This window comes from Homo sapiens, chromosome 12 (assembly GCF_000001405.40).
Source record: "Homo sapiens chromosome 12, GRCh38.p14 Primary Assembly".
Lineage (NCBI taxonomy): Eukaryota > Metazoa > Chordata > Mammalia > Primates > Hominidae > Homo > Homo sapiens.
Window position 1 is genome coordinate 31,201,586 of NC_000012.12, and position 17,861 is coordinate 31,219,446.

A 17,861-nucleotide genomic window follows, 5' to 3' on the forward strand; every position below is an offset into this window, starting at 1 on the left:
ACACCTCTTCCTCAACATAAATATAGCACTGTTACAGCTCTTACTCAGCATTCTGGATATCTACGAGGCAGAGATGATGATGCCAACCAAATTTGAAATTTACTAGTCCCATGAGCATATTTTGGGTTATATTGTAAAATGATAAAATTATTTAAAATCAAATCACTGCAATAAAAATGTAATGTTTAATTATTATTATTATTATTATTTATTTTTTTTTTTTCTAGACAGAGTCTCCCTCTGTCGCCCAGGCTGGAGTGCCCAGTGGCACGATCTTGCCTCACTGCAACCTCCGCCTCCCAGGTTTAAGCGATTCTCCAGTCTCAGACTCCAGAGTAGCTGGGATTACAGGCTCATGCTACCACACCCGGCTAATTTTTGTATTTTTAGTAAAGATGGGGTTTCATTTCACTATGTTGGCCAGGCTGGTCTTGAACTCCTGACCTCAGGTGATCCGCCCATCTCAGCCTCCCAAAGTGCTGGGATTGCAGGCGTAAGCCACTGTGCCCAGCCTGAATTTTTAATACCAAGCTCTATTTGCCTTCCATGTGAAATAATAAACTGTGTAATCACTGACAAGTTTGGAGACTGAGAAAGAGACAGATGAAAGAGAAAAACACCCAGATGTATTATCTTCCACATCATGATCCAATGAGATGAAGAAAAAGTCAATATGCCGTGTCTGCTAGATCCACATACAGGTCAGTGTTCTAGGAGCCCAGACGTTCTCACTAGTCAGGGAAGCCGAGTATGGGACTATATATCCATGCAGGAGATTTTGCCAGTATTTCCTGAGTCATTCTTAAAGTTTAAGTCATGTTTAAATTTTAGCCATCTCCCAGTGTGTTACATGTCATTAGGTGTGTTATCTAATTTACAAAACAGTCTTGCATCAGCATTTCCTAGACATAATTTACAATGCCTATGAGTGAAAATTTCAAGAACAAATTAAATCCCATTTCAGTAAATTCAATCATTGTAAATTAATTTGTATCTCACTATTATTTCTTGGTTGAGAGCTAAATCTATTTTGAGAACTCAGTACCAATTTCTGGTTGGCAATGCTCTGTATAGTTATTACAATGGAAGCAATGTAAAAATAACAAAGGCTTAAGGAAGCTCTAATTGAAAAAAAATTAAATATTACCATGTCTTTTTTATTACTAATTGTTGATGTTGTATTTTCCATACGACATATTTTTATATAAAAGTATCCTGGTAGGAAAGTTTATTGAAGCATTACTTTTTCTTTTTTTGCATTTCATTTTCTTCTTTTCCTTTACCAAAATTATTGCCAGGTATTTTGTGTTTCTTTGTCTTTAGAGTTTTGACTAAATAAGATGCTCTTAGAAGACAATCGCACGATTGCTGTGACTTTATCAAGTATCACAAAGTGGTTTCATTGGGCTCAGCCTCTGACATTGCCCTTTTACTGAAAACAGCAGGAAATCTATTTACCAACTGTTTTTTCCTAAAATTCAAGTTAATTATATCATATCCTCTTTAAAAATCCTTAATGGTCCACTATTACCTACAAGATAAATTCCAAACTCTTTAGAAAAAAAAGTTTCTTAAGGCTCTTATCTACCTATAGCCCCCACTGCTTGCCCACAGACGTTCTGCTTTCTTCCCTGAAAACACCAGCAATGTGCCACACCCTTTCATCTCTACATGTGTATTTGTGGGCTCAGTCTTCTGTCTAGAACCTCTCTTTATATGACTTCCTGTCTACCAGGTACATATATCCTCCTTGTTCTTTTGTGATTCGGTTCAAACTTTCATAATTCCCAAGCTGAAGTTAGTTGTTGCTGCTTTTAGCTCCCATAACACAGGTACTCATCTCTATTACAGGATGTCATGTCACACTACAAATATTTAGTTTTTATGTAATACATGCCACTTGGCTGTGGGAATCTCAGAGATACAGCCTGCATGTTTTATTCATTGTTGAATTTCCAATGGGTGGTATATGAATGCAAGCACTTCTTGAGTCAATCATGACTTTTAGTCAGTCTCAGGTTTTCCATAGAATCTTGTGTCTGTGTACAACTAACCATATTCTTGGGGAGCAAAATAGGAGAATATTAACCCTCCCAGGAGGAGAGCTTCTTTCCATTCACTTCTTTCCATTCAACCCATCCTATGCTGCATTTGAAGTAAGCACTCTTGACTCCCAGACTTTTAAAGCAAACCCATTATTGGGGTGCTAGCTTTCTATCCAGAGGTTTTACACAGGTTTTGTAATGCAGTGAGAAGCAGACGCATCTTTCTGACTAATAATGTCTTCTGCTGGTTTCCCACTGCTATATATTACAGAGAACTAGAAAAGATTAAAGCCAGTATCTGTATTTAGGGTATGGTCAACTTAATGAGACATTAGCTTTTATTTTATTGTTACTCTATTTTCACATAACCCTTTCTAAAAAGCCTGTTATCATGCACTTCTTTACCTATGAAATTTTGGCCAAATCTAAAGACAATTGCCCTTAATCATTTGACTAAGACAATGGACTTTATGCTTTCAATCTACTCCTTCCTCTTTATATCCCAGTTGGCTAACAGTCTCAGATTAGTGACTACTTGTGTTGTTCTTTGTGAAAAGCAACACCCAAACCTACCTCTCTTTATGTTTGCCTGTTACTGATTCCTTGGGGTTTCGTTACCCCTTGCTACAACACTCATTCCAAAGTGTGAATCTAAAATGATCACTTACTATTTGAGGAACACAGTCAGGCATGTACTTACATATAGAGCATCTTTACTAATTAAAATGCAAAATATAAATCATACCAATAGTAGGGCACATCTGGAGATCAAATGCTTTCTCAGACTTTATTAACCCATTACAATTTAGAAATCCAAATCTAACATCGATAACAGGAAAGTTAATATAAGAAATTTCCAAAAGACAAATTAGTACAAATGTTTGAATTTGTTGAGTAGAAGGTGGATCTTGCAGTGCACTTATCTTTTATAAGGAGAATTAAATTCATCTTTATAAACACACATACAATCTCATCTATCTGATTTGATTGAAGAAATCATAACTATTAAATATTTGAATAATACCCCTCTGATAAATAAATATATGAGCATACTACACTGACTTGCACATATGAGAATTTTCTAGATTGCCAGTTAGCACCTAAAATTTGGAGTAAATGCCCTAACCTTCTATCTGGGACTCATGTTTAGAATTATGATTTATTTTCTTATTCCATGGAATTATAATACATATGGAGTAATTCTATTAATATTATTTATACTTGCCTCCAACTCTCTAAGTTACATCTGACTTAAGGTATGATTGTTCATTTTTTTAGATTTTCCCCCAGATCTCAAAAGTGAACTTTGTACATAAACATTATCCAAATTGAGAGATAGATATAAATATAGACCTCCCTAATACACCTTCTAAATTTGGTAAAAGTCTTCTAACTGTTTAAATGGGAAACAGTAAGAATAACAGAACACATATACACATGAACACAGACATACGTAAGTTTTTTACAGTACAATAACAATGTTATTTGCATACAGGATACAGAGCAGTTGTTTCTAATTCTCAGTCTACGCATGGGAAATCCCCTTCTACTGTGGGAAAAGATTTCATCATTTACTAGACAAGAAGGATCTCATTCATAAAGTTAAGGGTGTGGAGAGAGTGGGAAAAATGATGGTGTGGGTTGTCTGTTAGGCAAACTGGGAATGCCGTTTCCAGCATATGAAAAAAATCCCTCTTTATTCACATACATTCCAATGTTCACTTCCTCATCCTGTAAAGCAGAGATGTGTTTCATTACAACTATAAAAGTGCAATGCTGGGCTAAAGCCTCCTTACCATTACTACAAAAAAGGATTCTAAACAAAATCTAAATCAATGCTTCTAACTTTAAGATCATTGCTCTAATGTTTTAAAAAAATGCATCTGGGATGCCTTTTATTATAATTTTTTAACAGCAGCAATTTATTTTATGAAATTAAAAAAATGAGTTCAGTAATTGTCAAAATAAAACACAAGTAAGACATAAGTCCAAGTCTGAGTATATTGTGAATACTTTGGAATAATGTTATTAATAAACATTGTCTGCTTTTATGGCAGTGAATATTCATATATTTAATATAAGAAAACATTTTATATTCAAGATGCCTTTCCCTACAATGCAAAGTAACTGAAGTTTATAGGTAATATATACTATTAAAAAATAAAAATTAATATATACTCATGAAAAGTAAAAAGAAAAATAAGAAAAAGAATAAATTATGCTTCCAAGCTTAGTGAAGATCTATTCACTCTTCCAAAGTCATTTTCAGAATATAACTTCTCTCCTGTGTTTTCACCACCTTTCTTGCTTCACTTTCTTTAAAGTATGAATCTTTAGGTAGTATTGATCATTTTTGATATTAAGAAAATACAAAGCTTCTGGAAATAATTCAAATCATTTTGCAACTTTTGGCTGTGATCACTTTGCAAAGCATGCAGTGTTTCTTCGTAGCCAATTGATGAAGGGTTTAGGGAAATTTGCCAGGAACTTACCATGAGTCATGGGACAAATGGGAACCCGTCATTCCCTCTGCAAAACCTGTTCTTGAGAAGCCCTTTGTCCAGAGCCTCAGTAGGCAGCTGGTTCATACCAACCAATGGTAAGCAATGCTCATCTGTTCTCTCCCTTAAGGCCTCTCTTTGTGTAAAGACCCACAAGCATAAGTATCTGTGGTGGGGCTGTGTCATGAGGGCAGGCTCACAGTGCTCTCCTCTGAGTTACCACTACTGAACATAATCAGGGTGTGTAAACTTGTTTTATTTGGCATTAAAGCCGTTACAACAAGTTATAAACATTTCCAGAGCTTCTTACTAGTGGAAGCAGAGGTAGTCTCTCAGGCAGAGTGTGGTTAGGACCGAATGCACTCTGTTGGGAAAGGCCTGTGGTAAATGCAACACCTTGGCACAAGAAAGTTATACTTTTGTTGTAGTGTAAACCAAAAATAAAATTCTAAGCCCCCCAACCAATAGAATGAACCCCTTCTGTCAGCCAAGGACATCCTACAGTAAATCTGAAACACTAGTTCAGGCCATGATAGGAGTGGGAGGTCAGATGTATCTGATTACACCTTCCCCCTTTGGAATACAGGCACTGCTGATCAGCATTAACATCAAAACAGAGAGCTTAAGACAAAATACTCTTTGTAGCAATAAGACATCAACATGACAGATAACAGGGCCTAAAAGAAATTGAAGTATTTTACCCTCAAATATATTTCTTTCTTTTTTTTACTCGAACATGATCATTTTTTAAAAATTTTACTTTAACTTCTGGTATAATGTGCAGAATGTTCAGGTTTATTGCATAGGTATATATGTGCCATGGTGGTTTGCTGCACCTATCAATCTGCCATCCAGGTTTTAAGCCCCGCACCCACAATATATTTCTTTGACATATTTTGAAATGGATCTGCACAGTTGTCTTTTGTGGGGAAAATCTACATTCTACAGAGAATCGCCATCCTTTTCCAGGTCATTTTCCTGATCCAGGAGAGACTTAACTAAGAGTTTGGCACCTTTTTAAGTCTGATAAGAGACATTTACAATCTGTTCTCTCTGAAGCCTGCTACGCAGAGGCTTCATCTGCATAATAAGAATCTTGGTCTCCAAAACCCGTTATCTTAACCCAGACACTTCCTCCTATCGATTCCAGCTCTTTAGATAAACTATGTTAATCAAGTGCCAATCAGAAAATCTTTGAATCCACCTAGGACCTGGAAGCACAGTTCCCTGCCCCCTTTGAGCTGTCCTGCCTTTCTAGACCTAACCAACGTGTACCACAAATGTATCGATTAATGTCGTATGTCTCCCTAAAACATGTAGATTCAAACTGTGGCCCAACCACCTTGAGCGCATGTTCTCAGGATCTCCTGGGGCTGTGTCTTCATGGGCCATGGTCATGCATATTTGGCTCAGAATAACTCTCTCCAAATATTTTACAGAGTTTGACTCTTTTCATAGACAGTAGCTTTCAGAAAACTACAATTACTCAACCTGACTTTAAAATATTAACATATTAAGAATTTGGTTTGTGTGTAAAACATTCATTCCTTTCCTTGTAAGGTAGTTACAGAGAAGGACAAAGGCCTTGGAGCCTCATGGTGAGTGTTTGGATCTTGGTTCTACCACTTCTCAGATGATCAACCTTGGATGAGTTATTTGAATTCCCTGTGCTTCCCTTCCTTTGTCTATAGATGGGAATAATCACAATACCATACCTTATAAGCTTGTTGTGGAAATTGAACAAGTAATATATTTAAAGTGATTAGAACAGTTACTGACACAGTAAACACTGGGTAAGCCTCTACAGAGACTAAATATTACACCCCTAACCACCAAACACACCCTACAAAATTCTAGTCATAAAGAGCATTAGTATGAACAATGGATTACTCATGTCAGCCAAGCGCTCTCCAAAATGATTTTCCTGAAATCAATATAGAAACAACTAAAAAGAAATGAGATGTCGTAAGTTCTATATAATGATGCTATAGAATAAAGGAGGAAAGGAATTGAAAAAGAAAAGTAAGAACATCTTTGTCAGGTGCAAGTAACAGAATACCTAAACAGACTTTTAAAAAATCAAACATTTATAATCTCATTTGGCACAAATCCTGAGAATGGAGGACTGGCATTGGTTCAGCAGCTCATGCATGCCATCAAACAGTTTCCTAAATTCTTTCCACCCTACTTCCTTGATGTGTCAGTATTATTTGCAATTTTGGCTCCTGACGTAGCAAAGATTATTCCTTCCCAGCAATATCTCAATCTGAATGAAAAGAGTGAGCAGGAAAAAATTTTCTTCTCCTACATCTCTCTTTTCTTTTCTTTTCTCTTCTCTCCTTCTTTCTCCTTCTCCTCCTCCTCCACCTTCTCTCTTTCCCTTTTCCTGCCCCCCACCTCTTTTACAAACTATTGCAGATGCTATATTAGGAAATTTTCCTGTATAGCTCCTTATCCACGCCTGGTTTATATCTCTCATTGCTAGGCCAAAGAGTGTACCCTCTAGATAATCCCCTTCATGGCAGAGGCACTTATGACCCTAGCTGCTAGGAATGTTGGTGGCTGTTGGCTGTCAGATGAATTCACCTCTGAGAACCTCCCTCAGCATCAGAGAAACATTTCACCCAGGTTCCTCTTCCTTTCTAGGGGCAGCTCAGTGCACAATAATGGGTACTATGTGTGTATAAATGCACAGCTCTGTTGCCTTAAATTAGGACAACTCTGAACAATCACCCCAACCCCACAGCTCCCCACGGGATATACTGATAACTTTATTGTGACTGCCTTGTAGTACAGCTCCTTTTTCTGTACAATCCTGCTTCCTTCATCCTCTACAGGTGTTGATCTTTAGAATTCTCTCCAATAAACCCTCTTCCCACAAATCTTCATCTCAGAGTCTCCGTTTTGTGGAACCTGATCTGTGGATTCCAATCACTGTAAGAGGGGACTGTGATAATATGATTGACTTAAAAAACAAAATCATGATTCATCTGAGAGCACTTGAGGCCTGAGCAAAATACACATTCTCTAAACTTACAAAGAAGAGGAAAATCTCATGTGTGAGCAACCACAAACAGAGAAAAGTGGATTGTTCAAGACACTTTGACTATTGCATTGTGTTGGAAGGATGGGAAGGAGAGAACAGAAAGTTGTGAGCAGGATAAAAATACTAAAATGTCATTCTTTGGTACAGTAAAAAGAAAATGAGAGCTCCCAAAGATCAGTGAACAGCAAGAACAATTATGATATTAACATGGGCAGAGTTTCCTAAAAGAAGAATCCAGAGATGGTCTAAGCAGTGCTTCTCAAACTTTAATTTGTACATACCCAATCTGAGGATGATCTTGTTAACATGTGGATTCTGGTTCAGCATATGTGGGTAGGACCTGACATTCTGCATTCATTTCCAACAGCCTCCCAGCAATGCAAGTACTGCTACTCTTCTGACCACACTTAGAGTAGCAAGGCTCTGGAGCCTTTGAACCCCAGTTCACCATTACCTATGGCTGGGGAAGCTTGGAATAACCCTGATGTCCAAGCTATGCCCTTAGATCAAGGGATTTAAATTGTGGTCTTGGGGCTAGTAGTGCCAGTATCACTTGGGATCCTCTTAAAAATACAAGTTCTTCCATGGTGTATATGTGTCACATTTTCTTAATCCAGTCTATCATTTTTGGACACCGTGGAATACTATGCAGCCATAAAAAATGATGAGTTCATGTCCTTTGTAGGGACACGGATGAAGATGGAAACCATCATTCTCAGCAAACTATCACAAGGACAAAAAAACAAACACCGCATGTTCTCACTCATAGGTGGGCATTGAACAATGAGAACACATGGACACGGGAAGGGGAACATCACACACCGGGGCCTGTTGTGGGGTTGGGGGAGGGGGGAGGGATAGCATTAGGAGATATACCTAATGTAAATGACGAGTTAATGGGTGCAGCACACCAACATGGCACACGTATACATATGTAACAAACCTGCATGTTGTGCACATGTACCCTAGAACTTAAAGTATAATATATATATACAAGTTCTTGTGCTTCAGCCAGACCTATTGAGTCAGAATTCCAGGAATGAGCCTCAGCAATCTCACCATCTGGGTGATTCTGACACACAGTAGAGTTTGAGAACCACTGCCTTGCTTCGGCAATCCTATTAAGTTGGTCGAAGTGAGACGTCACATTAAAAACAAACAAACAAAAAAACCTAGGCTCCTAGCATGTTCAAGGAAACTCCACCCAAGAAAAATGTGACCTTCTAGTACACTTGTGCTAGAGGTTTAAAAGAACAAATCCAGCTTATTTTGGCATATGCTGTCCCTTATGGGATGAAAGAAATGGGTAACTTTTTTTCTGCCTAAGTAAGTAAATGATCAATTTACAGTCCTCAATTTCCTTGACACACTTGCAGCACTGGACACTGTTGACTACTCCTTTTTCCCTGACAGTTTTTGACCTGGCTTCCAGGAGACCACACTGTTTTGGTCTTCCTCTGACTTCACTGGTTTCTCTCTTACCCAGTCTCCTTGGCTGATTTCTTCGCAATCTGCTTCCTCCCAACCTCCACATATTCAAGAGCTTCACAGAAAAGGCCCAAATTCTCTTCCCTATTCAGACTCACTGCCTGAGTAATCTCTTCCCATCCCACAGTCTATGTGCTCACAATTCCACAATGTATATATTTTTTTTAGCTCAGAGCTCTCTCTTTCTCTCAAACTCCTATACTGATTGTCCAGCCTCCAACCTGATGTCTCCACTTAAGTATATAAAATCAAAAGCTCAAAGATGAATTATTAATCTTCTACCCCAAACCTATGTCAGCCATGGCATAGCTCAGGTAATGGCAATTCTTTCCATAGAATTAGCTCAGGCCAACAGCATGGGAATAATCTCTGATCACTTTTTTTTTCTCATTCCTTGTATCCAGTCCATCAGGAAATCATACTGGTTTTACTTTCAAAATATACCTAGAGTCTATTGCTTCTTACCAGCTTCTCCCCTGCTACAACCCTGGTCCAAGCCACAATCACCTTTTGCCTGGATTATTTTCACAACCTCCACGAGGTCTCCTCACTTCTACTCCTGCACTCCTACAGCCTATACTCAACACAGCAGCTAGCTGATTATTTTAAAACATAATCAGATCAGGTCACTGCTCTATCCAAAACCCTGCAAATCATTCCCAGTTTTGCTCAGAGTGAAATCTAAAGCCCTAACAATGACCCTTGATCCCCTTCCTGGTTTGGTGCCCCAACATGTTTCTTATCTCTCTACCTACTACTGTATGCACCTCTTTGCTCCGTCTGCTCTAGTGCCATGCTAACTTAATTGTTGTTTCTTGAACACACAAGACACACTTTAACTTTATGGGCCTTGTTTTTTTCTAGCTGATCTCACTGCCAGGCCTAGATTTTCCTTAGATGTCTATGTGGCCAACTCCATAACCTCCGTCAAGACTTTGCCCAAATGTCGTTGCCTCAATGATATCAATCCTAAGCCTTGTGTTTAGCTTTCCAGTCTTCTCACCTCCCAGAGTGTTCTATATCCTCCTGCCCTTCTCTTCATTTTATATTTTCCATAGCACTTATAGCCTCTTAATTTCCTAGACTTTGCTTACCCATTATGTTCATTATTATGTTTGCGCATTTCGTTTGATTGTATTATACGTATTGTTTGTCTCCCCCATTAGAATGCAAGCACCACAAGGGCAGCTGTTTTTACTATTTTCATGCATTGATATTTCCCAAACACCAGGAAGAGTATTTGGCAACTATCAGCATTCAAGACTGGAGGTCTGAACTAAAGCAGCATGGCAGTGCTGGATAAAATCATGTAGGTCTATGAGTCATTCAGGAGGTAGATCAACAATTGTCAATTATCAACACTGAGAGAAAATGAGATGAGAGAGAGAAGGAGGTAAATTTGACCCTTAGGTGATGGGTGATGATATTGTCACACACCGAAGCGGGGATCTAAGTTGGAGAAACTGGTTTGGAGTAGATTATGGATCCTATTGAAGTGCCTGTGGGACATTCAGTTAAAGAAGCACCTTAGGCAGTGGGATATGTGGAACTGAAGTGTGAATATAGAGGCATATATTTGGGATACACAAAAATACAGACAGTAACTGAAATGCAGGATATTTAATGTGTATAGTGAGAAGAGAAGAGGGTTTGCAATAGAATCATAAAAAAATTATTTAATAGTAAGAGAAAGTGAGGTCAAAATGAAGATCATTAAATATCCAGAAAGTGAGAAGGAAAATGTGATTATTATGGGAATATAATCCATCTCTCTAGGATATGGATATAATCCATCTTTAGGATATGGATTATATGTGATGGTGGAAGGAAAAGAAAACAATAAACAGAAAGAGGCTGAGGATAAAGAAGAGAAAGACAATAAAATTGATGGAATGAGAAGGTGGCGAAACAGGATGAGATTTCTAGAACATAGCAAAGGAGATGTTAGTGTTAAGGGTTTCAGCTACTCATTAAATATATATATCTACATTTATATATACACACATACATATATACACATATATGTGTATATATATGGGCATATGCATGTATACGTATGCACATACACACATACATATGTGTATACACATGTGCACCTATCTGTACACATACATATATTCACATGTACATGTGTATACATGTGTATGTGTATGTATACTTACATATACTATATGTGTGTATGTGCATGTATACATACATATACACATATATACACCCATGTGTATATGTATATACATACACATATTGTAGGTATATATGTGTATACATGTATGTATGTATATACATATATATACACACAAAGTTTATTTCAAATTGCAAAAAAGTATGTGATTACTGTATAAGAAAATGATAGAGACAGTTAATTATTATTCCCATTGTTCAAAGTACTTTTGCATGGAGCAGGAATGGTGGACATAAAAGTGCCATGTGATGCTTCAATAGCACAAACCTTCTCCAAATCAGAGCTATACAGCCTCCATGAAATATTCCGTGGTAGTCTAGTTTACTGAAGACCTCTTCTTAAACACACACACTCACACATACACAATCACATGAATATAATCACATCAAAGCTTGGCACTTTCCATTCAACACTCCTGAATTAAAATGTTCATTATTTACTATAAAAATCTGGACACGGAAAATGACTTCAGTACTCTGTTCAAAAAGAAACTGGGGAAAGGTTTTATTGAAAAAGGCAAGGGCCGGGCACGGTGACTCACGCCTGTAATCCCAGCACTTTGGGAGGCCGAGGCGGGCGGATCACAAGGTCAGGAGATCGAGACCATCCTGGCTAATGTGGTGAAACCCCGTATCTACTAAAAAAATATAAAAAATTAGCTGGGCATGGTGGCGGGCACCTGTAGTCCCAGCTACTCGGGAGGCTGAGGGCAGGAGAATGGCATGAACCCGGGAGGCAGAGCTTGCAGTGAGCCGAGATCGCGCCACTGCACTCCAGCCTGGGCGACAGAGCGAGACTCTGTCTCAAAAAAAAAAAAGAAAAGGGCGAGTAAGAGAGCTGTATTGTTCATCTACCCACATCTATTCTTTAGATGGTATTTTTCTCTCAGTTCCTTAATACCTTACATACTCATTGTGACACTGAGAATTTTCCACCATAAACCTTAAATCCAAGACTTTTTCTTTGCCTTTAGTTATACCAAATAGCTGACTTCATTATGCCTTCCTTGCTTGCTTATAATTTGAGGAGCAATTTTATTATGTAATCAGGTTAACTACTAAATACATAAGTAAAATGGGGACTGAAAATTTATTATTTACTTAGAAAAAAAAGGTTTCCCATAAAGGGGTGTTATGTACCACAAAGTACACTCCCTTCATTTTCCTTGAACCTTTATCACAAATTGTACTAGAAGAGTCACTCACATTTTCCTGAAGTGGAGTCTCTGAAAATCCACAGGGCCTAGGGTACTTTAAGAATATATAAGTCAGTCTGAGTATGGTGGTTTATGCCTGTAATCCCAGCACTTTGGGAAGCCAAGGCAGGGGGGTTGTTTGAGTCTAGTAGATAGGGCCAGCTGGGCAACACAGTGAGACCCCGTCTCTACAAAAAATACAAAAATCAGCTGAGTGTGGTGGTGAACACCTGTAGTCCCAGCTACTCAGGAGGCTGGGGTGGGAGGATTGCTTGAGCCTGGGAGGCAGAGGTTGCAGTGAGCCGTGAGTGTGCCACTGCATTCCAGCCTGGGCAAAAGTGCAAGACTCTCTCTTTCTTTCTTTCTTTCTTTCTTTCTTTCTTTCTTTCTTTCTTTCTTTCTTTCTTTCTTTCTTTCTTTCTTTCTTCCTCTCTCTCTCTCTCTCTCTCTCTCTCTCTCTCTCTCTATATATATATATATATATATATATATAGAGAGAGAGAGAGAGAGAGAGAGAGACTGTCAGTATATCTAGCTGGACTGTCAGTATATCTATATATTTGTCAATAAAATTTATTCTCTTATCCTATAACAACACAGCTTCCATCCCAGTTCCTGGGGATTGGGGGATAAGCCCAAATGACAGGAACAGCGTGTATTATCAGGGTTCTCCAGAAGGACAGAACTAATAGGATTGATGTATATATAAAGGGGAGATTATTAAAGAGTATTGACTCACACAATCACAATGTGAAATGCCACAATAGGCTGTCTGCAAGCTGAGGAGCAAGGAAGCCAAGTCTGAGTCCTAAAACCTCAAAAGTAGGGAAGCCAGCAGTGCGGCCTTCAGTCTGCAGCCGAAAGCCCAAGAGCCCCTGGAAAACCACTGGTTTAAGTCCAAGAGTCCAAAAGCTGAAAAACTTGGAGTCTGATGTTTGAGGGCAGGAAGCATCCAGCACAAAAGATGAAGGCTGGAAGACTCAGCAAGCCAGCTCCTTCCACCGTCTTCTGCCTGCTTTTTCTAGCTGGCTGGTAGCTGGTTGGATGGTGCCCACCCACATTGTGGGTAGGTCTTCCTGAGGGTGGGTCTTCCTCTCCCTGTCCACTGACTCAAATATTAATCTCTTCTGGCAACACCCAGAAATGCTCAGATACACCCAGAAACAATAATTAGCATCCTTCAATCCAATCAAGTTGACACTTAATATTAACCATCGCAGGGCAGAATTTCAGCCAGTGTGGAGCCCATAGAGTGTGCTGCAGGAGTGTCTGTAATGGAGCATGGCCAGGGTCCCCCACACTCCTAGGCTTTACTTGCTCCCATAGGAGACTTTAGCCTTAGGGAAAGTATTAGACCCGAACCCTGCGGGGCAGTCTTGAAAATGAGATGAGGTCAGTCCAACCTGAGCATCCCTTTGTCTGCTGGCCTCTTCTGGGGCCCAGACTGGTTGCACTTGCTTGCAGTGCAGCCCCCAAGTACCTCCTGGGAGCCTTCATTATAGCTCCTGAGCTGGTGGACTTCACCTGACCAATACAGTGCTCCAACAGAGCAGCCCTCATGGACATGTACTAGCCTGCCCGTTCCCTCCCAAGTGCAGCCTCTCCCATACCATTTTGCTGATATACACTCACCCATGATCACCCCTGACTTTGCCTTGTTTGCATTCCTCCCCCACCAATGTGCATGTGCACACGCACCCTAGCATGCCACTACTGCTGGCATGAGTGCACATCACGCCCCTCCTCCCTGCCACACTGCCACTGTCATTGAAGTGTTTGCAGGCAGAGGGCCCACCAGCCCAGCTCCTGCTAGTGCCTTGCTCCTGTGCCCGTGCCAACACTGTTGCTGACGTAACACTAGCCATGGAGAACAGCAGACTCACCCCTGCCCTGAGTGGCCACTGCCATCCACATGAATGTGCAGAGGGCACACATGGTCCTGCACCCACCAGTCCCCTATCCCCATGCTAACATCACAATCGGCATGAAAGCATACAGTCACCAGCAGGGGCCCCCTGTCCCATAGAATTGTGCTGCCACTACTGCTGCTGGGAACACCTGCACAGAGGCTGGCACCTCAGCACCTGCTAGTACCTTGCTGAAGCTGACAAGCATGCACCCCACCTCACTGCTGCTGCTGCTTCTGGTGGCATGTGTGAGCTGCTGCTGCTGGTGGCATGTGTGAATGAGGAGGAATCCTGCTGCCACTGCACTGCAGAATGCTTTGGCTGGCACCACCCATCAGAATGCTGTGACCAGCAGTCTGGGAGCACCTTGGTCCCTCCAGCACATCAGGTTCCTAACCTTGAGGAGCCAGGGAACAAAGTCAGGACCTGAGACCTGTCCCTTTGCACTAGTGCATGCAGTTCAGGAGTCCTGAGCTGAGCCTTGGCCTTCTAATATCTTCCAGAAAAGAAGCCAGTAAATCAAACCCACCTTATACCACAATCAAACCCCCAAAGTCATCAAATAGAATAAAAGGAACAAAATCCCATTCAAAGGACAACAACTTCAAAGACTGAAGGAATATCAGCCTATAAAAATGAGAAAGAACCAGCATGAGAACTATGACAACTCAAAAAGCCAGAATGTCTTCTTTCCTCCAAATGACTGCATTAGCTTTCCAGCAAGAGTTCTTAATCAGGCTGATATGGCTGAAATGACAGAAATAGAATTCAGAAATATGGATAGGAATGAAGATCACTGAGATTCAGGAGAACGTTGAAACTGAACCTAAGGAAGCTAAGAATCACAATAAAAGGATACAGGAACTGACAGACAATATAGCCAGTATAGAAAAAAATGTAACCAACCGAATAGACCTGAAAATGCTTTAAAAGAATCTCATAATGTAATTGCAAGTATTAACAACAGAATAGACCAAGCTGAGGAAAGAACTCAGAGCTTGGAGACTGGCTTTCTGAATAAGACAGTCAAGAAGAATAAGGAAAAGAGAATGAAAAGAAATGAACAAAACCCCTGAGAAATATGGGATTATGTAAAGAGACCAAATCTATGACTTGTTTGCATTAATGAAAAGGATTAGGAGAATGGAAGCAACTTAGAAAACATATTTCAGGATATCATTCATGAGAACTTCCACAAGCTAGCTAGAGAGGCCAACTTTCAAAATCAGGAAATGCACAGACCCCTGAAAAATACTTCACAAGAAGATCATCCCTAAGACACATGGTCGTCGACTCTCCAAGGTCAAAATAATCTGTACAATGCGTCCTTCACTTTCTTCCTTTCCTCCCCACCCCTCACTGTTCAACAGATAACCTGAGTGCATTCAGTTTGTAAAGCACAGTGCTGGGGCCGTGAAAGCCAGAGACGAATCAGACAACACACAACCACTCTCAAAGAGATTCAGGGATCCCAGGAGGGAAGAAAGGAACATCAGTAAGCACAACGCCCCGCAAGCCTGGGTTTCACATCTGTTTAGCAGCAGCATGACCTTAAGGAGGTCACTAACAGGTCAACGCCTCAGCTTCTTCCACTGAAAAACAGGAATGGTCACTTCTGCGTCACTGAATTACCTCTCACTGAATTACCTCGAAGGTGAAAAGGAGCTGGTGATGTCTGGTGCTCCTGTCCTGGCTGACACAGCTAGGTCCTCAGCATTGGCTATTATTGCCTGCAAGACGGGGAGTAGTGAGGGGCTTCAGGCACTCAGGAAACCCAGAACTCCCACAAGTGGGCAGGGCAAAGTAGGCAAAATTTCAGGGAGGAGGCGGTCTAGAGCAGATCACGGAGAGGGAAGCTCCAGGCTTAGGAGACAGACACTCTGCAAGAGAACACCGCGGAGGACGAAACAGCAGAGCAACAGCAAGCAGCGCCTCTGGCTGGAGCTGTGCCTTTCAAGGAGCCGCAGTAGGAACCACGCTCCTCTTGGGGTGGCAGAGGGATGGGCAGGACCATGCTTGGGCTCCCTGTTCCACCGCCTCCAAAGACGACATCCCCATTCCCCATGAGAATGTTTCCTATGAAGCCAGGCTGGCCCTTGACCTCTGCAGGGCTGCCACTGGCCCTGGCCCATCATCATGCCAGTCCCTAGAGGCTGATGGTGAGAAGGGAGCAGAAAGCGCCCACTCCTGACCCAGATTCGCTGCTTCTCCTCCCCTGCCTCTGTCATGACCCCAGGGAAGCAAACCCTGAACCGGGGCTCTCGCCTTCACCTTTACCTTCTCCATTCTGGGATAAAAGACCACACATTGGATGTAGTGTACACTGCTCCCCAAAACCATTGAAATAAAAAATAAAGAATGATCTGCTCATTATGCAGGCCACTTGGGGGCCACCAGATGCCAATGAGTAGAAGGAGAGAGAAGGACAGATGGAGGAAGTAAGGACAAGGGGAAAGGGGAAGGGAGAAAGGGAGAAGAAAGGAAGGGGAGTGGGGAAAGAAGGAGAAAGAGAGGGAGGAAAGGACCAAGAGCCTTGCAGAGAAAATTCCCCCTTTTTCTAAGGAAAGGTGCTGGGCAGTGGTGCAGCTTCTTGGGTGAAGATGTTGGGCAGGGGCTGACGGGAAAAGGCAGATAACAGCATCCAAACTTCCACACACGAAGTCTGTCCCCTCCTCTTCCCCGTGCCGTCTCAACAACCCCCATCCCCCGCCCTGCCTTGTCATCTATATCTTGGGAAGCAGGTGACATATCTGGCCCAATATTTTGGGGCCTAGCTTCTCCCAGGTGTGGAGGGGGCAGATGCAGGGACAGGAAGAAGTGGCTGGGAGGGGCTGGAGGGTGGGGCTGAAGAGAGCCTGGGAGGTGCTTGTCATTCCCTCCAGTCTCTGCAAGCTCCCCCACTGCGACAGAGCAGGAGGAGAGAGCATAGCCAGGAATGCTAATTTGCCAGGAGCTCACCTGCCTGCGTCACAAGGCACAGGTGCCAATGAGGCCAGGGTCCAGTCTGGGGCATGAGATGGGGTGGTGGGGAGGAGAGAGACAGTCTCTCCTCTACCCACCTGTCTCTTCTGTGCAGGTGGTTTCCGAGCAGGTGAAGCACATTTAAAGGGGGAGGTTCTAAACTGGTCACAGTCCCATTGAAAAAGCCCATGGGAAATGAAAAGCCCACACACTCGCCCATTCCATTGCCACAGGCAGGGGGCAGGTGGAGGAGGAGCGGTGGGTGCTCCCCACACCACTCCCAATTATCACCGACTCCTCCCTTTCCTTCATTCTCCTTCCCAATCTGTCAGTGTATCCTGTGGTTGGTCCCTTTGAATGTCTCACCCAGCCCTCCTTGCTTGCAAGTCCCCTGATTGCAGCCTCATCCCCGCCATGTCCTGACTACAGCAACAGCCTCTGGGTGTCTCTGCCATCTGCTCTCTCTCTCCCTTCTTGTCCCCTTTGTGACAGGTGCTTGATGAACCTTCCCCAAACTCTTCTGACCCATCCCTGCC